This window comes from Homo sapiens, chromosome 12 (assembly GCF_000001405.40).
Source record: "Homo sapiens chromosome 12, GRCh38.p14 Primary Assembly".
NCBI classification, from domain to species: Eukaryota; Metazoa; Chordata; class Mammalia; order Primates; family Hominidae; genus Homo; species Homo sapiens.
The window spans coordinates 103,273,215-103,299,962 of record NC_000012.12 but is presented as its reverse complement, the minus strand read 5'-3'; the positions used below and the strand labels follow the sequence as shown (position 1 = coordinate 103,299,962).

Here is a 26,748-nt window from a genome sequence, read left to right as displayed (position 1 = left end):
CTGTTTATTTGTCCTCATTTTGGATGCACATGTTTGGGAGAAAATTAGTTGACTCAGCCCTGATCATGCTCTTTAGTGATGGATGAGAAGCATTTTCAACTCTGTCATCGTCATGGGCTGGAGGGGTTCAAGTCCTTTGGAATGACAGCTTCTTTTGTACTATAACTTAGACACAAATGCACCAAGGTAAATGTAGTGAATTCTTTCCCAATACCATTTGTTCTGAAAACAGTGCTAAATTAAACAGTAATAACTGAGGATGAATCCATTTAAGGAAGTAAATATTTTTATATGTAGCACAGGCAGTGAAGACTAGAATGAGGTCCTATTGTAAAAAATAATTGTTTCACAGGTTCTGAGTTACAGTTTTCCTTTATTTCTTTATGTGGTTTGACTTATGGCTATGTTGTATTACCACACACTGTAAATATCTTTAAGGAACATAATATGCCACTTCATGGAAAAATATTTTTATGAAAGTTGCATTAGAAAATAAATATTGAGAAATATAAAAATTTGGTGCACTGAAGAAACTAAGTATTTAGGATAATCTCTAGTGAATAATGTTTACAAATAAGGACTCTTTTTATAATATATAAAATAATAATTATAATAACAGCTAATATTTATTGTGTATTGTACTAGAGACTGTCCTGTTTAACGTATATTAATTCATTTAGTCCTTATAATGGCTTCACGAAGTAGTTACTATTATCTCCATTTCATAGATAAGGAAGCTTCATCTTTAATGATAATAATGATACACATACAAATATTTTTTTAAAAACTGTATAATATGTTATTTTATACATAGAGCTGTATTATACAATATATTATGAAAGCTAGTATATATGCATATATGAATATATTTGTGTTCCACCTACAACTATAAATCAGTTTTTATACCCTGCGGTTGGTACATAAGTGAGGTGAGAATAGAGCCTCTACTTATATCCCCTCACCTCCTGATTATATAGTAGAGAACTGGAAGTGATAATTGTGGGTTGACAACATAGCATATGTTTGAACTCTTTGACAAACAAAGCATAAGAGATTATTGTGACATAGTTCTTTTTATTTGAAGCAACATTATCCCTGAAGGCTCAGAAAATAAGGGAAGGAAAGGTTGTTTTGAGGTTTATGAAAGATGGCAGCACTTTTAAGATTATTGGAACTGACCAAAATCAGACTTGTGAAAGACATGGGATGTTGTAGAGGGAGGATTAAGGAAAAAGCTAAGGTACTGGAGCTGATCCAGATCTCAAGAGCCAAGGGTGCATTCCTATAAAGGTGACCTGAACTCAGCGTCACTCCTACCACTTGGCCAGAGTGTCTTCGCTGTTAAATTGGGATTATGGTAGTTTTTTCCAATTCTGTGAAGAAAGTCATTGGTAGATTGATGGGGGTGGCATTGAATCTATAAATTACCTTGGGCAGTATGGCCATTTTCACGATATTGATTCTTCCTATCCATGAGCATGGAATGTTCTTCCATTTGTTTGTATCCTCTTTGATTTCGTTGAACAGTGGTTTGTAGTTCTCCTTGAAGAGGTCCTTCACATCCCTTGTAAGGTGGATTCCTAGGTATTTTATTCTCTTTGAAGCAATTGCGAATGGGAGTTCACTCATGATTTGGCTCTCTGTTTGTCTGTTATTGGTGTATAGGAATGCTTGTGATTTTTGCACATTGGTTTTGTATCCTGAGACTTTGCTGAAGTTGCTTATCAGCTTAAGGAGATTTTGGGCTGAGACAATGAGGTTTTCCAGATACACAATCATGTCATCTGCAAACAGGGACAATTTGACTTCCTCTTTTCCTAATTGAATACCCTTTATTTCTTTCTCCTGCCTGATTGCCCTGGCCAGAACTTCCAACACTGTGTTGAATAGGAGTGGTGAGAGAGGACATCCCTGTTTTGTGCCAGTTTTCAAAGGGAATGCTTCCAGTTTTTGCCCATTCAGTATGATATTGGCTGTGGGTTTGTCATAAATAGCTCTTATTATTTTGAGATATGTCCTATCAATATCTAATTTATTGAGAGTTTTTAGCATGAAGGGTTGTTGAATTTTGTCACAGGCCTTTTCTGCATCTATTGAGATAATCATGTGGTTTTTGTCTTTGGTTCTGTTTATATGCTGGATTACATTTATTGATTTGCAGATGTTGAACCAGCCTTGCATCCCAGGGATGAAGCCCGCTTGATCTTGGTGGATAAGCTTTTTGATGTGCTGCTGGATTTGGTTTGCCAGTATTTTATTGAGGATTTTTGCATCGATGCTCATCAGGGATATTGGTCTAAAATTCTCTTTTTTTGTTGTGTCTCTGCCAGGCTTTGGTATCAGGATGATGCTGGCCTCATAAAATGAATTAGGGAGGATTCCCTCTTTTTCTATTGATTGGAATAGTTTCAGAAGGAATGGTACCAGCTCCTCTTTGTACCTCTGGTAGAATTCGGCTGTGAATCCATCTGGTCTGGACTTTTTTTTTGGTTGGTAGGCTATTAATTATTGCCTCAATTTCAGATCCTGTTATTGGTCTATTCAGAGATTCAACTTCTTCCTGGTTTAGTCTTGCAAGGGTGTATGTAACTTTAAAGTTCATATGGAACCAAAAAAGAGCCCGCATTGCCAAGTCAATACTAGGCCAAAAGAACAAAGCTGAAGGCATCATGCTACCTGACTTCAAACTACACTACAAGGCTACAGTAACCAAAACAGCATGGTACTGGTACCAAAACAGGGATATAGACCAATGGAACAGAACAGAGCCCTCAGAAATAATACCACACATCTACAGCCATCTGATCTTTGACAAACCTGACAAAAACAAGAAATGGGGAAAAGATTCCCTATTTAACAAATGGTGCTGGGAAAACTGGCTAGCCATATGTAGAAAGCTGAAACTGGATCCCTTCCTTACACCTTATACAAAAATTAATTCAAGATGGATTAAAGTCTTAAATGTTAGACCTAAAACCATAAAAACCCTAGAAGAAAACCTAGGCAATTCCATTCAGGACATAGGCATGGGCAAGGACTTCATGTCTAAAACACCAAAAGCAATGGCAACAAAAGCCAAAATTGACAAATGGGATCTAATTAAACTAAAAAGCTTCTGCACAGCAAAAGAAACTACCATCAGAGTTAACAGGCAACCTACAGAATGGGATAAAATTTTTTGCAATCTACTTATCTGACAAAGGGCTAATATCCAGAATCTACAAAGAACTCAAACAAATTTACAAGAAAAAAACAACCCCATCAACAAGTGAGTGAAGGATATGAAGAGACACTTCTCAAAAGAAGACATTTATGCAGCCAAAAGACACATGAAAAAATGCTCATCATCACTGGCCATCAGAGAAATGCAAATCAAAACCACAATGAGATACCATCTCACACCAGTTAGAATGGCGATCATTAAAAAGTCAGGAAACAACAGGTGCTGGAGAGGATATGGAGAAATAGGAACGCTTTTACACTGTTGGTGGGACTGTAAGCTAGTTCAACCATTGTGGAAGACTGTGGCGATTCCTCAGGGATCTAGAACTAGAAATACCATTTGACCCAGCCATCTCATTACTGCGTATATACCCAAAGGATTATAAATCATGCTGCTATAAAGACACATGCACACGTGTGTGTATTGTGGCACTATTCACAATAGCAAAGACTTGGAACCAACCCAAATGTCTATCAATGATAGACTGAATTAAGAAAATGTGGCACATATACACTATGGAATACTATGCAGCCATAAAAAATGAAGAGTTCATGTCCTTTGTAGGGACATGGATGAAGCTGGAAACCATCATTCTCAGCAAACTATCACAAGGACAAAAAACCAAACACCGCCTGTTCTCGCTCATAGGTGGGAATTGAACAATGAGAACACTTGGACACAGGAAGCGGAACATCACACACTGCGGCCTGTTGTGGGGTGGGGGGAGTGGGGAGGGATAGCATTGGGAGATATACCTAATGCAAATGACGAGTTAATGGGTGCAGCACACCAACATGGCACATGTATACATATGTAACAAACCTGCACGTTGTGCACATGTACCCTAGAACTTAAAGTATAATTTAAAAAAAAATTTAAAAAAATTGGGATTACATGTTTTTTTTACTGCAAAGGATAACTTGGGGACGAAATTTGCTATAAAATGAAAGCATTTTGAAAAGTAAGAGTGGTATCCAAATTCAAATCATTATTTTATGACTAATATCAGCAATAATTAGTACGTATATTATCATTATTTATGCAAGGCTGATATAAGAGGTTATAGATCTAACTTCCTTACACTGACATTGAGCACAATTTCTGCTGACTGTGTCATCATGTTCCTCTCTAAGAAGTTTTTATACACTATATCCTTTACCTTCATTCCATAACTGTGAGGTCAGTAGTATTATCCCATTTACCAATGAGGAAAGTGAAACACAGGGAGACATACAATTTGGCCAATGACTGCCTCCATCACTCATGCTCGCAAAGATTACAGTACAATGTCTTATTCAAAGCAAGTTATATGTTAAAAAAAAAAACAATGTATGCAGTTGATGAATTTACAAACTATTCCATGAAGAACCTCCAATTTAGAAAAGTTCAGATTGGGGTACACGATGCCATGTGGTATCCTCCAAATGTGATCTTTTAGTTCGGCTCTCTATAAAAGACTCTAAAACTACCCAGACAAGGGAAGGGATGAGGTAATGTTTTTGTAACTACAAATGTGATGTTGAGGATTTGTAGTCACACAGGGACACAGGAAAGAGGTTGTTGTCAAGAGAAGACTCAACCTCAAGAAGAATGCTCCAACCCTTTACTATGGAGTAATACATAGCCATAAAAAAGAATGAGATTATGTCCTTTGCAGGAACATGGATGGAGCTGGAGGCCATTATCCTTAGCAAGCTAACACTGGAACAGAAAACCAAATATCCCATGTTCTCAGTCATAAGTGGGAGCTAAATTATGAGAACACATGGACACATGAAGGGAAACAACACACACTGGGGCCTTTTGGAGGGTGGAGGGTGAAGGATGGGAGGAGGGAGAGGATCAGGAAAAATAACTAATGGGTACTATTATGCCTAATACCTGGGTTATGACATAATCTGTACAACAAACCTCCATGACACAAGTTTACCTATGTAACAAGCCTGCACATGTATTCCTGAACTTAAGAAAAATGCTGCAGAATTCTTAAGGTGTATGGGGTCCCTCTTGCAGAGTCCAAGGTCTTTGTGAAATATAATTCTCTGCTTCCATCCTTTTTCACAAGGTTTTTTCCTTCTTTCTTTCTTTCTCTTTCTTTTCCTTCTTTCTTTCTTTCTTTCTTTCTTTCTTTCTTTCTTTCTTTCTTTCTTTCTTTCCTTCCTTCCTTCCTTTCTTTTTCTTTCTTTCTTTCTTTCTTGCTTGCTTGCTTCTTTCTTTCTTCTTCCTTTCTTTTTCTTTCTTTCTTTCTTTCTTGCTTGCTTGCTTATTTCTTTCTTTCTTTCTTTCTTTCTTTCTTTCTTTCTTTCTTTCTCTCTCTCCTTTCTCTCTTTCTTTCTTTCTTTCTTTCTTTTTCTTCTTTCTTCTTTCTCTTTCTTTTTTTTTTCTGCCATGTTTAGGCTTCCCACTACTGCTTCTTCCATACTCCCATGCTCTGTGTTTTCCCTCCTCTATGGGAATCAATCCAATTTTGTAAGTCAGTGATATTGACAGATATTGAGATCATGAAGCATTAATTGGGTCCTTACCATCCTAGGTACTCTGCAAGAGATCTGAGAAATTTGATTCAACTCAACCAATAGTTATTGTATGCACCATGTACAAGGCACTGGCCTTGGTGCTGGGGTTGTCTACTAAAAAGGACACAGTCTTCTTCCTTGACTAGTTCAACCTAGTGCAAGGCTTAGTTCTTTCACTTATTCATTCTAAAATATTTACTGAACATCTGCTATGTGCTGAATGTGTTGTACTGGAGACAGAATAGTGAAGAGCCATTTTAATTCAGTGAGACCTAGATAGTGAAACATGAAATAATGACACAATGATATTTAGGTCCTTTGATGATAATCCTTTAGCCACAGTCGTGAGACCCAAAATCTCTGAAAATTAAAAGTTAATTTTTCTGTCAATTATGAGCCAAACTGAACACATGAGTATTCTCACTCTGGGGAATACTCCTGTATTTCAATGAAGACGTAGTAATATATTTGATGATATAGTTCTGCCTTGGACCCCCATGGAAAGTGTTAAACAACACGTGATTTATGCACCATTCCATAATATGTAGCTTACAGCCATAACATAGAAAAAATTCTAAATTCTGAACTCAACCAGCCTGGAGGGTTTTGAAAAAAGGATTTTGAAGTTTTAAAGTGAGTAAGTGCAGTAGAAAGTTAGAGAAGGGAGAGATCAGTTCTGGTTGGAATAATTGAAGGCTTCCTGTAGAAGAATTTGAACTTGATTTTGGAGTGTGGAGGATTTGAAGGGACAAAATAGTGGATAAAATGGAAGTAGCAACCAGGGACTGATCAACTTTCGTGGTACCTGAAGCTTATACATTTTGAGGGGAGCTCTTTCAGGAATAGAATACAACATTATAAACATAGTTAGGTAGAGGAAACGGTCCTTACAAACAAAGGACCCTTCAGCTCATTTTATTTGTTTTTTAATAAATCCATCTCTGAGTAAGGCAAAAGACATGGGGATTTACCTTATAAAGTGAAATATACCTGCAGATATATGTTGATTCATGGAGGAGAGAAAGAGGAGACCAGAGATGGGTTCCTGAAAGGGAAGGGAATTAATCTTATTTATTTTCTTTTTGAATTGTTTGAGATTTTGGAAATTGATAGTCAAAAAAGGCATCTCTTTAAAAATTTTTGGCATAGTATGTGTGGCTTTTGGAAAACAGCCTAAAGAGATTTTAAAGAATGAATCAATTTTTCATTGAATTCACTTCAATGAATTCTATGGTGTTTTTCAGAGTGAGTGGCCTTTTCTAGTTTTCTCATGTTTGACTCTATAGCTAGTCAATTGCTAACATTTAAATATTTGTCAATCATAATTATTTTAATGTAGTTAAATGGAAAACTCTTTAAAGAAGAGAAAAAGCTGCATTTCATTTTGAAGTTTACCTTTTTAATAGACTATTTAGGGATATATTTTCTTTAGATTTCAGAATATATGCATGAATTTCAAAATATATTTAAAGATGAATACTTTAAAATTGAAATGGAGATTTCAGTCTTATTATTAGTCAGTATACCTAGCAATACTCTTTTCTAAAGCATTTTCAAAGCTATACATAATAATTCATATTTACTCAAAAAGAATAGTAACATCACCAAGTGGTGTTAAGAATCAATAAAAGTAACTAAGTAATACTGATAGTGTTGATTGCATCCTTACTGTATGTTAGACACTATTCTGGTTCCCTTATTGTGGAACCCCTGCTTCCTTCCTCCTTTCTTTCTTTTTGGTCTTCTTTTTTGTTTTTAAGCCACAAAGATTTGATTATTATTCTTGCTTGGTTACTTTTAATTATTTATTTATTTTGACAGCTTTATTGAGACATATTTATATATCATATAATTCACCCATCTTAAGTGTACAATTCATGAGTTTTTCATATATTCACAGGTATGTGAATTTGAATAGAAACCCTGTACCCTTTAGCTGATACCCTGCTTTCCTCTGCAACACCCAGCCCCAAGCAACCACTATTCTACTTTGTCTCTATAGATGTCCACTATTCTGGACATTTAATATGAATGAAATCATATAATATGTGTCTTTTGTGACTGGCTTCTTTCACTTAGCATGACTTTTTAAGGTTCATCCATATCATATTGCATGCCAGTGCTTCCTTCTTTTTAATGGCCAAATAATATTCTACTGTATGGACATACCACATTTTGTTTATCCATTGATTGGTTAATGGACATTGGGGCTGTGTCCACCTTTTGACTATTATGAATAATGCTGCTATCAACACTCATGTACCAGTTTTTGTGTGTACATATGTTTTGCTTTCTCTTGCATGCAGTGCTGTGGTAGGAGATGAGCAGGACTTGTTTTCCAAGCACCAGTCATGACCCCATTGATCAAAACAAGATCTGGTTAAAGCAGGATGCAGTAAAGAAATAGGCCAAAACCAGCTAAAACCAAGATGGTAACCTCTAGTTGCTCTCACTGCTCATTATACGCTAATTACAATATGGTAAAATGGTAAAAGACACTTCCACTGGTGCCATGACAGTTTACAAATGTCATGGAGATGCCCAGAAGTTACCTTATATGGTTTAAAAGGGGAGGAACCCTCAAGTCTGGGAACTCCCCACTCCTTTTCTAGAAAATCTGTGAATAATTCACCCCTTATTTAGCACGTGATTAAGAAGTAGCTATTAAGTATAGCTAGTCAGCTATCTGTGAGTGCTACTCTGCCTATGGGGTAGCCCTGCTCTGTCTGTGGAGCAGTCATTTTCCTGTGCTCTGTTGCTCTAATAAACTTGCTTTGCTTTCGCTACTCTGTCAGCTTGTTCTTGAATTCTTTGCTGCATGAAGCCAACAACTGCTGTGGGCTGAGGCCCAATTTTGGGATTCCCCCGCATTGGTATCTCCTTTAATTTTCCCAATACTTCTATGGTGTATTGTTATCCTCTTCTACACAACAGGAAACTCAGAATAAAGAGGTTACTTGTCCAAAGTCACACAGTCTGTTCAAGGCAGAGCTGGACTGTAAGCCTAGGCAGGCTGACCAGAATTTGCCATACGCCTTTTCTCTGTATCAGAATTTCTCAGATGGACTTCTAAGTTTTCTTTAGTTAGGATATCTAAGAAATTGCACAAAAGTTTGCTGTTTAAATATACCCAACCACCTCTAACCATTTACCAATCATCTGACTAAATACTATATTTTCTTTTTTAAAAAAATATTTTATAAATTTAGGGGTACAAGTGTAGTTGTGTTACATGCATGTATAGCATAGTGGTGAAGATTGGGCTTTTAGCACATCCATCACCCGAGTAGTGTACATTGAACTCAATAGATAGTATTTCATCCCTCACCCCCCTCCCACCCTTCCACCCTTTAGAGTCTCTAGCATTCATTATTCCACTTTGTATGTCCATTCTACACGTTTTCTAAAGTGCATCCAGAAAATAGAATTCTTAAAAATGTATAGCGTGCATGGAATTAACACCACTTTTTTCTGTTTAAACCACATTTTCTTACTTAGCCCTAAATTGCACTTACCTTTCTATAATGTGTGGGCAGATGTTAGAATGGCAAAGACCATCCCCAAACTGTCCATTAATTAATCCTCTTGGGGTAAGTCCCCTCCCCACTTAATTCTTTGGGATGAAATCAGAAATCAGTATTGTGTGTTAGTTCCTTCCTTCCCACACCTCCTCTAGGTTAAAGCTGAATTCTTTGAGATCAAGATTTTTTATGTGTTTGACTTTAACAATGTTCTCTTCACATGTCCTTGCATAGGCCCAACAATTGCCTGTTGACCCATTTTAACCTCTTTTGAGTGTCATCTTCAAAGTCTAACTGTCCTTGACAATGAAAGAGACCTTCCTATTGTCTGGTCCTTCCAGGCAATCTTTAGCATGGAGCTCAATGGCTTTCAGATGGAGGAGTTGGCTAGAGGAAGGAGACAAAGTAAGCTGTTGTTCCTGAGTGACTTTGCTAAAGTTTCCCTTTTCTCTCTTAGAATGGTGCATTTCTATAGAAGATGACAGACGTTTTGACAGGTGCAATATGCTTTGAACTGTTGTGTCTGATAATTCTTTTGTCTTGGGTTTTCCCAGCAGAGTGGTACATCTTAGGATGCTGATATGCATATTGTTTGCTTTTCATTTAGTGTGGTGAAGCCGTACTTCTTGCTTTCCTTCCACTTCTCTCTTTAGACCCTCTGCATGCATGTCACTAACCCAGATGGGGAGGCAGGCATTAGTGCAGGAAGCTTTCCCTTACCCTTCCTTCCCCTTTTCCCCCTCAAAATGAAAATCACTTTTTGCATAGTTTTCTCATTGTTTACAAAATGAAAGAGAAAAAAAGAAGTTACCAAAAGGCATTAAGAAAAAGCAGAAATTATCTATAGCTTAATAACCCAATGACAACCACTATTTACATTTTGGAGCATATCCTTTCATACATTTTTCTTAGCATATTCACATATAGAACTATTTGTTCAAGAATGAGCTCTTACTACACACATTGTTCCATAAGCTGTTTTTTCCCCCCATCACAATGAACTGTTGACATCTTTGCAATATCAACAAACGGTGATCTACATTAGCATTTTAAACACCTATAGAATCTTTTATTGCATCATTGTAGTATAATTTAATTAGCCAATTTGCTATTTTGGAACATTTTAATTATTTGCAAATTTCACTATAGGAAAAATTTTTATGAATATTTTCACTATAGGAAAAATATTTCATGAATATATTTTATGTATAATTGTTATCTGCTCCTCTAATTATTTTTATAATGTGAATTCCTAAAAGTAAAATTGTAAAATGCATGCAAGATTTAACTTTTGGTATCTTTTCTGTCCAAAAATATTCCTAAGTATTTTGTCTGGTATGCTCTTTGACTCACAGAACTTAAAAAATGATAATATTAGTTAGAAAATATTTGGTCCAAAACAAAAATGGACATCAGAGATCCCAAATAACATGATTTTGCCCCTTTGTTTTGTCATGATGAATTAGATCTACACAGATTTTTCTGCTTTGGTATAAATGTGGGAGAATTTTTATCTGACAAATTAGAGGACTTCTCTTCAGGCATTAAGACTGGGGCTTCCAAATATGTAATATATTAGTACTACCTGTTCTATATCTAAAGCAATAAGATAATAGAACCTTAACACTGCTCAGTTTGTTTTTCCAAGTGATCTTTTATGTATTTCTATTAAATGTGATTGTTGCCTAACACCTTGTTCCAATTATGTCTAAAAACAACAGACCGAACCAAGATATGAGGAAATTGTTTATAAGAGAAATTAAAAATAGCCCTGCTCCTTGCAATGAGTGATTTTACTTTTTTTGTTCAAGTTTATATTATTCTTTAGTACTAAAAATTTCTAGAATCTGGCAAAGAATGAACTAATAAATAGGGAGTTCAGGATTTGTGTTTTTTGCTAATAAAAAATAGTTATAGGAGATTTTGAGATGTTTATCCATCATTCAGAACCTTCTGAAGACACTTTGATTTATAAATAAAGCATCTTACCATGTAAGCAGTATCAGGGGGACATGAATGAAGGGCAAAATCTTTTACACGTCTAACATAGTGGCATGTGGTTTACAGAGCATCTGAAAAAATAAAAATATTGTGCTCTGTGGAAAATGATGGAATATAACATCTGTGTTTTGGATTTAAAAAGGGTGAAATTATATTTAAATGTTTATTAAAAGTGACAGGTAAAAGTGCTTGCAGTTTTCAAACAAGGACGCATTAAACGAGGTAAGGTGCTAAACGTAATTTTTATTTCTAACTTGGTTCTTTCTTGTAAACTCTATGATCAATTTATCCCATTTCTTTGGTGAGTCCTAACCCTCCTTTACCAACACCTCCTAGATTTTGTTTGTTTTACTCAGACTCTACACAATTTGCACTGAATTCTCGTTATGAAAAATCAACTGAGATTTTAACTTCTGCTAAGTTACAAAATCCCTAATGCTTTAGTTTAAGCAGCAGGACACCAGGAGTTCGGAGTGCTGTGGGTCATGTGATCAATTGACCTCTATCTGGGTTCTGTGATTCTGCCTAGTAACAATTGATTAATGGTGTATGGTAAATTTGGGAGAATATCTCATCAGTTCCCCGAGTTTGAAAACTTCCTCATTATCTTGGGCCTTTCACTGCTGCCCTTAGAAGATTTTACTCACAAATTAGGTTGAACAAAGTCTTCTCAAAGAAATTATTTTCGCTGTTTGGTCATCAGGGAGCAGAAGGCTTGATGGTCATTTACAGCATTGAAATAGGGAGGCAAGTGGCCATTAGAAAGCAGGGACATCATTCAGGCTTCCTTCCTCTTTGCTCCAGCTCCGGGCTTTCAGAAGAAGCAATGTAACAAAACTTTCACTCCAGTGACAAGTTGGTCTCAAACTTTCTCTCTCTGTCTCTCTCTCTCTCTTTCTCTCTCTGTGTGTGTGTTTGTGTGCGTAGGTTTAGAATTTCTGATTTTTGTAATGGGATAGCTGTTATGAACACTTTTTTTTGTTTTTTTTTTTTATTATTATACTTTAAGTTTTAGGGTACATGTGCACAACGTGCAGTTTTGTTATATATGTATACATGTGCCATGTTGGTGTGCTGCACTCATTAACTCGTCATTTAGCATTAGGTATATCACCTAATGCTATCCCTTCCCCCTCTCCCCACCCCACAACAGTCCCTGGTGTGTGATGTTCCCCTTCCTGTGTCCATGTGTTCTCATTGTTCAATTCCCACCTATGAGTGAGAACATGCGGTGTTTGGTTTTTTTGTCCTTGTGATAGTTTGCTGAGAATGATGGTTTCCAGCTTCATCCATGTCCCTACAAAGGACATGAACTCATCATTTTTTATGGTTGCATAGTATTCCATGGCGTCTATGTGCCACATTTTCTTAATCCAGTCTATCATTGTTGGACATTTGGGTTGGTTCCAAGTCTTTGCTATTGTGAATAGTGCTGCAGTAAACATACATGTGCATGTGTCTTTATAGCAGCATGATTTATAATCCTTTGGGTATATACCCAGTAATGGGATGGCTGGGTCAAATGGTACTTCTAGTTCCAGATCCCAGAGGAATCGCCACACCGACTTCCACAATGGTTGAACTAGTTTACAGTACCACCAACAGTGTAAAAGTGTTCCTATTTCTCCACATCCTCTCCAGCACCTGTTGTTTCCTGACTTTTTAATGATCGCCATTCTAACTGGTGTGAGATGGTATCTCATTGTGGTTTTGATTTGCATTTCTCTGATGGCCAGTGATGATGAGCATTTTTTTTTTTTTTGAGACGGAGTCTCGCTCTGTCGCCCAGGCTGGAGTGCAGATATGATGTTGTATGATTCTACTCTTTTCCCAGCTTTACCAACCTCCCTTTACCGTACCCAACACATTCCTGTTTAGAGTGCTTTCAATTATTCATGACCATCCTTTCTTTTTGCTAATTCCTAGGATATATCAACTTATTCCAATTTGCTTCCATATTCTATGATCCATTTCATTTTATCTTTATGTCAAAACTTGTAAAAGAGGGACAAATATATCCAGAAGTTGAGAGATATTTTGATTGTAAAAAGCACCACACACATTTTTCCTCTCTATTGCAAAATAATAGTAATAATAAGAATAATAGTAATAATGATAATAATAATGGCTAAAGTATACTGATTATTTACTATGTGCTAGGCCCTCTGCTAAGCAGTTGATACATACCTCACATTAAGTCTGAGTCGGTTACTATGATATTATTTTATATATGAAAATAAAGACTTAGTGGGTGTAAATATAATTCATGACTGTCTTAAAATAAGAAATAGCTAAGTTGAGGCCTGACTACATGGGCATCTATTTCTAACAATTGTGCTAGTAACTCCACTCTATGCTACCTCTTCATGTGAAAATACTCTGTTCATTTATTTATTTATTTTTACTTTATTTATTTATTTATTTATTTATTTATTTATTTATTTATTTTTTGAGATGGAGTCTTGCTCTGTCACTCAGGCTGGAGTGCAGTGGTGCAATCTCGGCTCACTGCAAGCTCCGCCTCCCGGGTTCATGCCATTCTCCTGCCTCAGCCTCCGGAGTAGCTGGGACTACAGGCGCCTGCCACCACGCCCAGCTGATTTTTTGTTTTTGTATTTTTAGTAAAGATGTTTCACCGTGTTAGCAAGAATGGTCCCGATCTCCTGACCTTGCAATCCGCCTGCCTTGGCACCCCCCCAAAGTGCTGGGATTACAGGCGTGAGCCACCACGCCCGGCCTCATTCATTTATTTTTTTCAGCACATATTAATTGAGCACCTACTATCTGTTTAGCACTGTTTTAAGTACTGAAGATTCAGCATTACGCAGACAAAAATCCCTGCTTTCACAGAGTTATATTTTCAGTTTTATGTGAATAAATTTATATCTACTTCAATGTTTGCGTCAATTATTTTGGGGGACTAAAACAATCTTCTCCAATGAAGATGTGTGTTACCATATACAACGAAGCTGATTTTCAGCTATTTGGAGTTGCTGTCATTTGGCATCAGACTATACATCCAATATTATTCAAATAATTTATCATATTACCTTCCCAGTGATGTGTTAGAAGTCTGATCTGAAATTTGCTTTGATAATTCTTTTTCTTCAAATAACTCTCCTTTTTGTAATTATTCTATCAAAGGCTTCTTCCTTATCATTAAACAGTTATTTGTATTCTATTATACTTGTGTATATTTATAATTTAATGGCAAGGTGACATAGTGGAAAGAATGTGAGCTTTGGAACTAGAAAGAGGTATATTCCAGTCCTTAGAGGCTAGATCCTTAATCTCTCTAAGCCCTAATCCAAGTTCCAAATCTTTAAAATGGAGGAAATAATTCTTACCTGGCTGGATCCTTAGGAAGGTTAATAGTGATATATGAATTGCTTTAAGTTTAGTGCTTAGCACAGAGTAGATCTTCATGAATATAACTTATTATGATTATTTTTGTTGATAGCTCAGGTTTTCAGGAGCTGGGATTCTTCTTTAATTGCCTGTGATATAGAGAGCAATCCTTATACAACTAAGTATCTTCCAAAGTAGATCATAAGTCGGTAAACAGCAGTATCCAGGAGGCTTTTCCATATGTACTGATGTTCTAGCTCATGAGTTCTTCTGCCTTTGCTGTGTATTTAAGCCAGAAGCCAGGGCTTTGTTATGAGGACTACTTGCTTTGAGCATTGATCCTAGATAAGGGAATCATTTGCTTAGGGAACAGTGAGAAATCCAGACCCCACTTGTGTGTTAGGCACAATAGGTACAGAGCCTAGCAGCCACTATACTATCCAGGGCTCCATGAAAATGTCTTAATTTCTTTTAAAATTAAAAAAAATGAGTGTAATCCAGCTTATATTATAGTAGTCTTTATACCATTTCAGTAGGGGCCCACGAAAGCAAAAGGATTTAGGACCCACGAAAGTCAATTGTGGCTCTGTGGGAAAACCCATGAGTTGTCATAGAGCCGCCTTCCAGGTATCTCTGAAGTGTGTCTTGGATAGGAATTCATTTATTCATTCAACAAATATGTAACAAAGGCCTACCATGTTCAAAATATTGCTCTTGGTATTAGCGATACTGTAATAAACAAAACTTCTTACCTTGTCTTTTAATAACCTTGGGTAAAATATTCCCAACACCCCAAATTCCTGGTCTTAGAATAATTATCTTGTGGTCTGGGTATTGCTAGGCCCTAGTGACTCTCTGATGATGACTTGTCTTTGCTACCAGGCTCAGAGAGCTACCTGTGGGCAGACAATGTCAGTCACTCATCCTTGTGTCTCCAAGTGACAAATAGAGCTCTATAAGGTTGGTGGAATGATTATCGAATGTTTCTCTGTGTTTCTTTTCCAGTTCATTCTGCTTTTTTTTCCCCAACAATTTGTCCCAAGTCAATACAAGGATTATCATCAATGGAGGCTACTTGTTAACAAAACATTCTTTTCTCTGTGCTTCCAAATATAAACAATGTACTAAAAATAAGAACTCCAGATATTTATATCTATAGCAGGTTTAAAATTTCAGAAATAAAAGAAGCCCTTGCCGTCTTATGTAATGTTCTCCGAGACAGCCCTAATTAGGAGCACTCAGGTGTCACACTCAGGTGTAGTAGAACTTGGGATAAGTTCTATCACAAGTTATTGACAAGATTCTGCCACTCAAAATTTTTTATCATCCCAGAAGTACCTAAATAGTGTCTTAAGTGAAGTTGACAGAGTGCTTTCATGCTATTTTTTCCTCTCGTGATAATTAAAGTGGTCTTTGAACAAAATATGTATTGCATTTGCCCGGAAAATTGTTCAAGTTATTTTTTCTTGTTCTGTACCTGAAAGGAGACAGGCTATTCCCTAGCTCATTCATCCATTCGATCATTTACAAAACATTTATTGAGCAGCTACTATGTTTCATGGAAGGAGTTTGGCACTAGGAACAAATTGGTGCACAAAGACATTGCCTTTCTCCTTAAGGAGCTTTGTGCCAGTGGGTGGGAGATAGATGATGCTGTCAGAAAGCATAATAGGAGAAAATGACTTAGTCAGAGGCCCCAAAGGAAGGAAATGGGAAGTGGAAGAGTATTTCAGATGTGAGCGCTGGCTGGTCCAAGACTCTGGAGAGGAAAATGAGCTGGCATGCTGGAGGCTAGTGTGTCTGGAACACAAGGAGTGAAGGGACTGTGATCAGAGGTGAGGTGGATGAGTTAGTGGAGGCCAGACCCCAAGTGCCTTGACACCTTGTTAAGGATTTTTATTTTCTTCTAATAGCAATGGAGAGTCACTAAAAGGTTTTAAGCAGTGGGATGGGCTCTGAACACAGAGCAGAATGTAGATTAAAGCAGAAACAAGCAGTCAGCCTACAGGCCATGCACTGTGGTCCAGAGAAGTGATAATGGCAACTTGGACCAAGACAGTGATTGTAGAAATGGACAAATGGATTCACAGATACCATTCACTGACTTTGGTGTTCTCTGGCAGCACCTTACTCCATGCCTACGTGGTATACTGATGACATGCAAAGGCACAGGATAAAATGCTAGGGAGCTTTTACAATTCCAGATGGCAATTTAAAAATTGTTTTATATGAAAAAATAGAATATGAAATAGAATGAAACATTCATTTGACATTTAAAGATAAAACAGAAGACCTCAAAGACATTTTCTGTTTGGGCCAGGATCTGTTAGGCTGAACCTCCTGGTTTCCCTTTGTGTGTGTGTGCATGTGTCATTTGCCTCTGACAGTAGTTTCTATGGAATAATTTGAAAAATGCTGTGTTGAGGTGCTACCATCCTCCAGACCTTGGGTAGTTCTTGTCTCTTGATAAATGAATCTTGAAAAATTCGAAGGTTTTCAAAACTCAAAGTGACTCTTTCATGGGAAAATACCAAAAATTGGGACAGAGGACTCAAGAATGCCACTCACATTACATTGCAGTAGCAGGTGTTGACCTTAAAGACAAATTAAAGCTGACCTTCTGCTTTACGTACTTTAATTAGAGTCCTCATCGCTTTTTTCCATTGTACAAATCACCATAATAACAGCATATAGCCATGTATTGCTTAATCATGGGGATCTGTTCTGATAAATGCATCATTAGGTAATTTTGTTATCGTGTGAACATCAGAGCGTACTAACACAAACCTAGATGGTATAGCCTTCTACACACCTAGGCTAGGCTATATGATATATCCTATTGCTCCTGGCTTACAAACCTGTACAGCATTTTACTGAACTTAATACTGTAGGCAATTACAACACAACGGTAAGTATTGTATCTAAACATATCTAAACATAGAAAAGGCACAGTAAAAATACAGCATTATAATCTTAGAGGACCTTCATCATATAAGCAGTCTGTCTTTGACCAAAATATTGTTATGCAGCACATGACTATATTCTTGGCATTTCTCCCATTTCACTTCCTCTCTCATCTTGCTTTTTAAGACAACAAGGTCTTTATGTATTTGTTCTATTATTTAGATTTATTCTTATTTGAGGATTTTCTTTGAAGTTAATGTTTAATGCAGGCACCAATTTAACTTGATTACCTTATAGAATCAGAGACTCCTTAATAGTCGTTACATCATTTAGGACTCTTGATTTTAAATGACCAGAAGTGCAATTCTAATAAACATAACTAAAGAAGAAAGGTTATTGGTTCATATAACTCGAGAATACGGAGATAATTGAGGCATGGCTAAATCTAAGAATTCAAGAAATATCAAGAAATTTTAGGATCGATCTCTTTCTTTCTTTCTTTCTTTCTTTCTTTCTTTCTTTCTTTCTTTCTTTTTCTTTCTTCTTTTCTTTCTTTCTTTTTCTTTCTTTCTCTTTTCTCTCTCTCTCCATAGTCTAGTTGAGTTAGTTGTGTGCTTTTTTTTCACACTAGCAGGAAACAATGGCTCACACATGTAATTCCAGTGACTTGGGAGGCTGAGATGGGAGGATCAATTGTACTCAGGAGTTTGCAGTTGCAGTGAGCTATGACTGCACCACTGCACTCCAACCTGGGCTACAGAGTGAGACCCTCACTTAAAAAATATGTATTAAAAGACCAGGCACGGTGGCTCACGCCTCTAATCCCAGCACTTTGGGAGGCTGAGCCGGGCAGATCACGAGGTCAGGAGATCAAGACCATCCTGGCTAACATGGTGAAACCCCGTCTCTACTAAAAATACAAAAAATTAGCCAGGCATGGTGGTGGGCGCCTGTAGCTACTTGGGAGGCTGAGGCAGGAGAATGGCATGAACCCAGGAGGTGGAGCTGGCAGTGAGCCGAGACCACGCCACTGCACTCCAGCCTGGGTGACAGAGTGAGACTCCATCTCAAAGAGAACAACAAACACGTCAGGATGATACAAAAGTAGCATAGAAGAAAAATTATAATTCCCATGTTTATGCTTATTCATTTTATATAGAAAGACAAGGAGTACAAGGGTGGGTTAGGTGAAAAGTCACTTGGAATCTTCGTTTTACCTCTCTCAGACTTAGAGATAATCTCAATTCTCTTCCCAAATAGTAAGATTCTTGCAATTCTGTGTAAAGAATCTCGTAAATGTAGAATTACTCTTTCAAATAGACATCATCTTAGTAACTGATTACTTGGTTAGAAAATCATACAGTCAACTCAAGTATGAAGTATTAGCATTTTATTTCTATGTAAACTTCAACTGTCAGTTTAGATGCCACTTCTTCCAGGAAGTCTTCCTAATCTACCTCCCTCTCACCCTCCAGCAAGGTTGGGTTAGTGGCCTTTCCATGTAGAAGATAGTTCAGCATTTGGACTTTGGAGATAAAGATTTTAGTGTTGGAAGTCCACATTTTCCTCTCAGTGGCTGGGTGATCTGCAAGTCACTTTCTCTTCCCTTGGTGTCAGTTCTCACTCCATGAGCTGAAGAGAACAACTCTAATCCATAGGTTCGTGTGGTGGACTAAGTGGGAAAACCTTGGTAAAGTTCTTAGCACCGTGCTGGCTGCTCAGAGCAAAACACTCAATAACAAATAGCTTTCATAACTAGTATTATTTATTTATTGTATTTTATCCTTTACTTGTTTCTGTCTCCCCTACCATTCAAGATTTTTTTTGTGTGGAGATGGAGTCTCACTCTGTCACCCAGGTTGGAGTGCAGTGGTGCAGTCTCAGCTCTCTACAGCCTCTGCCTCCCCAGCTGAAGTCATTCTCCTGCCTCAACCTCCCGAGTAGCTGAGATTACAGGTGCATGCTACCATGCCTGGCTAACTTTTTGTATTTTTAGTAGAGATGGGGTTTCGCCATGTTGGCCAGGCTGGTCTTGAACTCCTGACCTCAAATGATCTGCCTGCCTCGGCCTCCCAAAGTGCTGAGATTACAGGCATGAACCACCGCACCCGGCCCCACTCAAGATTTGAAAAATGAAATATATCTCTTTTCTGTTGTTGTTGCTCACAGCACAGACCCTGCCACTGGATTACATGTGAATCCCTGCTCCACTACTACAATCTATATGACCCACAGCAAATCACCTAATCTGTAAAGCCTCTGGTTCCTTGCCTACAAAATGTGGGTAATATCAGTATCCACTTCTTAGGTTATTGTAAGAATGAAGTGAGGTCATATTTGTCAAGGGCTCAAAAGAGTATCTGGGACATTGTACATATTCAATGTTAATTATTAATATTATTATTGTTGATGTTGTTAAATTCCTAATGCCTCTATCAGTGTTCAGTAAACAGTTGGGCATCAATAAATGTTTCCTGATCAACAAATGGATATTTTATACTTACCCTGTCATACGCTTTCACTTCCAGTCTTAGTTCCCATGTTATTAGCCTAAACAGAGCACCATGAAAGCAGAAAACCTGTTCTCCAATAATTACAACTTATGTCTGGGTTACCTGCTGTCTCCATGCCATGGTGTCCCATCTTTCAACACGAGAGAGAGAAAGCTGGACTCTTTCTCCTGCCTGTATTCAAACCCATAAGAGGCATCAGCTTTAACATTTCAAGCTAGCGTTTCAGGAAGAGTAAATTCATCTTCAACCACACACCTAGTCATTTTCAACCACACACCTAGTCATTATGTTGACATCTCATTTCCTGCTCTCTCATGACACTGGTTTTTCTCTATCAGTGATTTCTGACAGGAACAGTGAACTAGCATGTGTGGAAGGTGAGTTCCTGGGGGAACCAATTTTGTTAGCAATTTCTCTTTCTGCCAGCTGTAGCTTCCAAACATTGCCTATATTTTTGCTTTTATTTCTATATCTATTTTATATAAAACAACAAAATATATACATCAATAAGTATATAAATACATATACACATATATATTTAACAGCTTTATTGAGATATAATAAAAACCCTGCATATATTTAATGTATGCATTTTGATGGGTTTGAATACATGCATACATCTGAGGAACCATTACCACAATCAGTGTAATAAACATCCATCACCTCCAAGTTTCCTCCTGCCCATTTGGTGTGTGGTGGTGGGGGGCAGTAAGAACACTTAACTTGAGATCTACCTTCTTAAGAGCATTTTAAGCATATAATAAAGTATTGTGAACTATAGGCATGATGTGGTACAGCAGATCTCTGGATCTTATTTTATCTTGCATCATCAAAACTTTATACCTACTGATGATGGAATATTATTCAGCCTTAAAAGAGAAGGAAATCCTGCCTTAGGCAACAATGCAGATGAGCCCAGAGGAGATTATGTTAAGTGAAATAAGCCAGGCACAGAAGGACAAATACTGCCTCCCACTTACATAAGGTATCTAAAGCAGTCAAACTCAGATGCAGGGAGGAGAATAATGGCTGACAGGAACATTCAGGAGGGGAAAATGTGGAGTTTCTACATGCCCATTTATCAAAACTTGGCTGTCAGGTGCACTTACAGTGGTAGTACTGAGAGAAGCCATTGGATTTATTTTGGAGGAATCGCTATTAGATTCTTTGGAAGGAACAGGCCAAAAATACTGAGTGAGTTTCCCCACTTAGAGCCCCAGTGAAATGTCCACGTTGCTATTAATACATGAGCAATGGAAGAAGAGCCTGTCTTGTTCATCTCTCCTGCCTGCTGTTTCACGTCAGCACATACCAAGGGGTGATGAGACCACTCACCCAGCTCACCTGTGCTGACTGGCAGGTGCCACGTGCCCAGCCACAGCCCAGTGCAGGAGTGGAGATGAGGTGTCCCCATTTTATCCCAACAGCTCTCCTCAACACAGCCCCTTCTACTGCTCCCAGCATCTCCTTTCCATATGACTGGGCAGACCCCAGCTCTACAAATCACTGAATGCTCAGTTTGCAATATTACACTCTTGGGCTTTTTTTGTTTTTGCTCTTTTTTCTGTCTTAGTGGAGAAAAAACAGAGATGATTTTTAAAGTGTATTTTGGTTCAGTGGAGGAAAAAATGATTTCTAAAAGCATCTTTTGAAATGAGCTAGTTTCATTTTCACAGAAAATCCACATGGCTAAGGTGGTTTTAAAAAAACCCTTAACATCTGGTAGACATAGCCCCCCCATTGTTGCTCCCACACCATATTTGTTATTTGAGTACCCTTTTTCTAAGGTTTTCATTTTTGAATCAGTTTGTTAAGTTCCTTCCCTACCATCCACTTTTTGTTCTCAATAAATATCTTGATGAAATTCTGGGTGCAATTCCTTTTTTTAATATATTGAGCAATTTTCAGAAAGAAATTTACTTTTAAAAATCTTTCAATATTCTATCCATGAATGTGATTTATTCTTCAACTTATTTAGATATTTTCTGTATCTCTTAATAGAATTAAAAAATTGTGCTCATCGGGTGCAGTGGCTCACACCTGTAATCCCAGCACTTTGGGAGGCCAAGGCAGGTGGATCACGAGGCCAGGAGATTGAGATCGTCCTGGCTAGCACAGTGAAACCCCATCTCTACTAAAAATACAAAAAATTAGCCGGGCGTTTTGGCGGGTGCCTGTGGTCCCAGCTGCTGAGGAGGTTGAGGCAGGAGAATGGCGTGAACCCGGGAGGTGGAGCTTGGGTGAGCCAGGATCACACCACTGCACTCCAGCCTGGGTGACAAAGCGAGACTCCATCTCAAAAAAAAAAAGAAAAAGAAAAAGAAAAAGAAAATTGTGCCCATCAAGGTCAGATGAATTTTTATTATATATCAGTGGTTCTCAAGTGTAATCCAGAAACTACCAGAGATCTCTGATACCCTTCTGAGGAGTCTGTAAGATCAAAATACTTTTCATATTTACATTAAGAAATTATTTACCTTTTCATTCTCATTTTCCAGAAGCTAAATGAACCATAATGCAGAAGCAGATACGATAGTTTAACCAAACATTAGAGATTTGCAGAAATGTAACATAATGCCATCCTTCTGTTTAATTTTTTTGGAAAATATAGTTACTTTTCATTAAATAGTATTATTTGTGTTATAAATTAATAAGTTTATTATAATTTTTGAATTAATATACAGTTATTCTTTCTATCCCCCTTTCCATATGGTACTTTTTGAAAGGAAGTCACCATGGACAGGCCACACAGAAATTACAGGGAGCTATGGTTCTTCACCTTGAAGAGTGAGTATCGTTTGGTATGATTTTGCTAGCGTAAGTTGTTGAATTTTGTTTGATTTTGTATCCAGCAATCTTCCCAAACTTGATTAGTAATAGCACTTTAAAAAATTTCCTGTGTTTTTATTGTAAATAATTATACTATCTAATTGTAAAAATTTTATTTCTCTTTCAATCCCTTCTCTAATTTTTAAAAATATTTCAAAAACTAGCACTAATCTCAACTCTACTTCAAGTATCATCACCAAATTGACCTAAAAGTAACATTAATTATCACATGTTATCAATTCTAGAAGGAGGATGATGAGGAGGGCTAAATCAAAAACAACTATGAAAACTCCTATCCTGTTCATCAATTGCACAAATAGACTGAATAACAGCCATCCTAACCTACAGTGTACTATATTGGTCAGCTTTCATTACGTTATGATAATAAATCACATCACTCCCAAATCTCAGAGGTTTACAAGATCAAAGATTGATCTATTTTTTGGTCACCTTTACTTACCCCATTGGTTGTGGTTGACAGCAGCTCTGTCTCCTTTCTTTGGGATCCAGATGGAAGAAGCAACCCCTAGCTGATACCTCGCCTTCTTATGGCAGAGGAAAAAGCACAATGGCAGAACCACAGGGTAATTGTTAATGCTCCTCCTTGGACATGGGATGGTCACACTTGCGAACAATGGGATGGGAAGTTCACTCTTGCAATGGGGAGAGTACCAGGGAAGAGGTCTCTAGAGCTGGGCCTAGTGCAGAGGGTGGTAAGTAATTATCAAGGATTAACATTAGAATCTTCTGCAAACACTAGGAAGAATAATAATTATGGGAGTCATCAACTTTGTTTCCATCCTTAAAGAAAATGAGTGAAAAGTTTTTTCATTAAGTATAATGCTTGCTGTAGGTTTTTGGTAGATAGCTTATTAACATGTTACAGAACTATTATTTGCAGTTTTAACTTTTTAAACATATTACCTTGACATTAAAATTTATTAAAAGTTTTTCCCCCTATATGTCTACTAAGGTGACTATGCAATTTTTCTTTTTTAGTACATTAACATGAATTAAATGGAATTTTGTTTTCTAGAGACAGAATCTTGCCCTGTCACCCAGGCTGGAGTGCGGAGGCATGATCATAGCTCACTGTAACCTTGAACTCCTGGGCTCAAGAGATCCTTTCACCTCAGCCTCCTGAGTAGTAGGGATTACAGGAGCATGCCACCATGTCCAGCTAATTTATTTTTATTGTTAGTAGAGACAATGTCTCCCTATTTTGCCCAGGCTGGTCTCAAACTCTGGTCTCAACCTCCCAAGTCACTGGGATTACAGGTGTGACCCACTGTGCCCAGCCAATGAAATGGATTTTAAAAAAAAAGTTTGTCTGTCTTGTTTTCCTGAGTAAAAAAAAAAAAAAAAAATCCTACTTGATCATAATACTTGATCAATATTCCATTGAATTCTGCAAGATAGTATTGTATTTGGGATTTTACACTTATTTTATTAAATGAAATTGGCCTATAAGTTTTCTCTATTTATATGCCCTTCCTTAATTTTTGTTACAAAATTATAGCCTCATAAAAGGAATTGGGCTGCTTTTCTTATTTCTCTGTGTTATAGAGCAATTTATCTAAGGTCAGGATTACTTGTTCCTTTGAAGTTCGGCATAAAACTATCTTAGTCTAGTTTTTGGAGGGGAGAGAGAGGATGTTATATATTTAATTTCAATGTATTTCATAGGTTTGTGCATTTAAGTTTTTTGTTTCTTGTGTCAATATTGGCTTTTTACATTTTTTCCAAAATTAATGTGTTTAATATAGGTTTCAAAATTATTGGTATATGGCTGTTCATGATACTCTTTTATAGTTTTAAAAACATCTGTATACAATTTTTTACTAATTCTATCAACCTGTTTTATTTTTCCTTTTTGTAAGATTTTTTCAGCAAAATCAGTATCCCTGAAGCTTTTGAAGATTATTTACTCATAGAAATAAGGTTCTGCTTTTTGAGTTATCAACCTCAGGTTGTTGTAGGAGATATCAATAAAAATACATATTTAGTATTTAAGGATTGAAATTCAACTGAATTTAGGCAATGCATTTACTATAAAGCTTGTAAATAAAATATTGGTGGAAAAAAAAGAGTCATGATTTTTTTTTCTCCAAAGGTCATCTCTTTTCTCATGAATGAAACTTTAAAATTGCCAAATGTGGATAGAACCAAGCAGTGAAGATATCAGGAGGAAAGATAATTCAATTCTGGCATATCAGTTAGGAGCTCGAAAACTAAAGGAAACAAATTTTAAAGTGAGCATAAAGTGTTTGGCCAGATTGAAAGCATAGCAGCTGGAAACCTCTGTTTATCAAATTTAAACCAGTTGTGTTCTGTTTTTTTGTTTTTGTTTTCTTTTTGGCAACAAGTGCTGAACCTTGAGAAGGATTCATTTATTCAGTAAATATGAAAATAAGGTTTAAAACAAGAGCATGTTCATGTGCATGCATACACACACAGACACACACAGACAGACAGACACAAACAGTAGAAAAACAAAATACCTTTTTCTATGCCCAGATGAATCAATGTATAATAAACTAGGTTCCCAAAATCAGCCACAGTGAGAAAGGGTAACAAGTGAGGAATGATCTATAAGAAGAATTCTAGCTCTATAGACTGAGAAATGGAGAGATTTAAATGGAGACTTCTAAGGGAAAGAAAAAAATTATTAAGAGCTCCATCTATACTAAGTATTATACATATTTAATGCTTGCTACAACCCAGGGAGGTAGGGTTTACTGTTCTCAGTTTAAAGATGTACCCACAGTTAACCATCTCATCTGGGAAGGACACAGGAGCATCTGATTCCAGAGTTCCAAGTCCATGTTTAGCAGCACAGGCATCACAGATAAACTGTCTTGAGTTTGAATCCTGCTCTGCCACTTGACAGCTATGTTGCCTTGGCTGTATTACTTAGCGTCTCTCTGCCTCAAACTCCTTATCTGTAAAACAGAATTACTATCAGTACCTATTTCCTAGGATGTTGTGAGGATTAAATAAATGAGTACATAATAAAGCACTTAGAGGGGTTTCTGTCCCTGAATAAGCCCTTAGTAATAACTTACTGAGTGTCTGAAAGGCAGAGAGGAACTAAAAAAGCAGGACAGGGCAATAGGAGTGCTCTTGGGGGGATTTTTCTTGACCCTGGACAGCACACTGAGTACTTACTGTGAGTATGCGAAAAGCACTTTTCTGCTCGTCCTCCTTGGACTTTGGCTTTCTAGGTAAAATAGCCACTATGAGGAGACCTGCTGTGAGTGCATCAGTCTGAAACTGCTCACATATTAACGCTGACTCAGACCCATGAAGTCATCAGGTAAAAGACAAGTGCTTCTCTTTCTCTTTCTCTTCTCTTTCTCCTCCTCCTTTTCCTTCTTCTTTTCCCTAATTTCTGGCTTCCTAAAGTAATTTAATTGTACTATATCCATACCACCTTCTTATTCTTACCTCTTGGGTCTTTAGACAAAACATCCTGTATATTAGTAAAGTTGACATGGTATTAGAAATTTCAGAGTCCTGACTTTTCATTTCACAGATGGGATAATGACAGGAAAGTGAGATGGTGGCTCAAGATTACAGAGTTGGTGGTCGAGGTAAAACTACATAAATGGAATGTGTCCTCTAGTAGTTGGAGTGATAACACCCTCCATTACAGTCTAAAATGGCCAATATACAATGCTGTGTTTATTCTTAAAATAACTACTTAAAGCAGTCATTATGTTCATTAAAATTTTATTTACAGTTTTAATTATATAGTATATATGTATGCTCAAGACATTCTTAGGATTTTGTTATTACCTTTAAAAAAATCCTAGTGACTCTATGTGAAAAAAGAAGGCCACATTCCTTCTTCTTTTATGGAACTGAACCTGGGCAAAGGCCTCCCAGTGGTC

At 37.1% G+C, this 26,748-nt stretch overlaps 1 protein-coding gene across 17 annotated transcripts in view; it reads left to right on the top strand.

Annotated features, from left to right (window-relative positions):
- C12orf42 (chromosome 12 open reading frame 42) overlaps positions 1-26,748 on the top strand; it is a 516,167-nt gene that overhangs the window by 263,828 nt on the left and 225,591 nt on the right. For 8 of the 17 annotated variants that reach the window (NR_170336.1, NR_170332.1, NR_170337.1 and 5 more), the window contains one exon: positions 22,753-22,813. Coding sequence is in view for 7 of the 17 variants with exons in the window: in NM_001386867.1 (NP_001373796.1) it covers positions 22,753-22,813 (61 nt within the window). In the remaining 10 variants the exon portion in view is untranslated. Of the gene's footprint in view, positions 1-22,752; positions 22,814-23,100; positions 23,261-26,079; positions 26,172-26,390; positions 26,449-26,748 lie in introns of those variants that run through there. The other 9 variants (XR_001748690.2, XM_047428807.1, XM_017019281.2 and 6 more) reach the window with 4 other exon arrangements.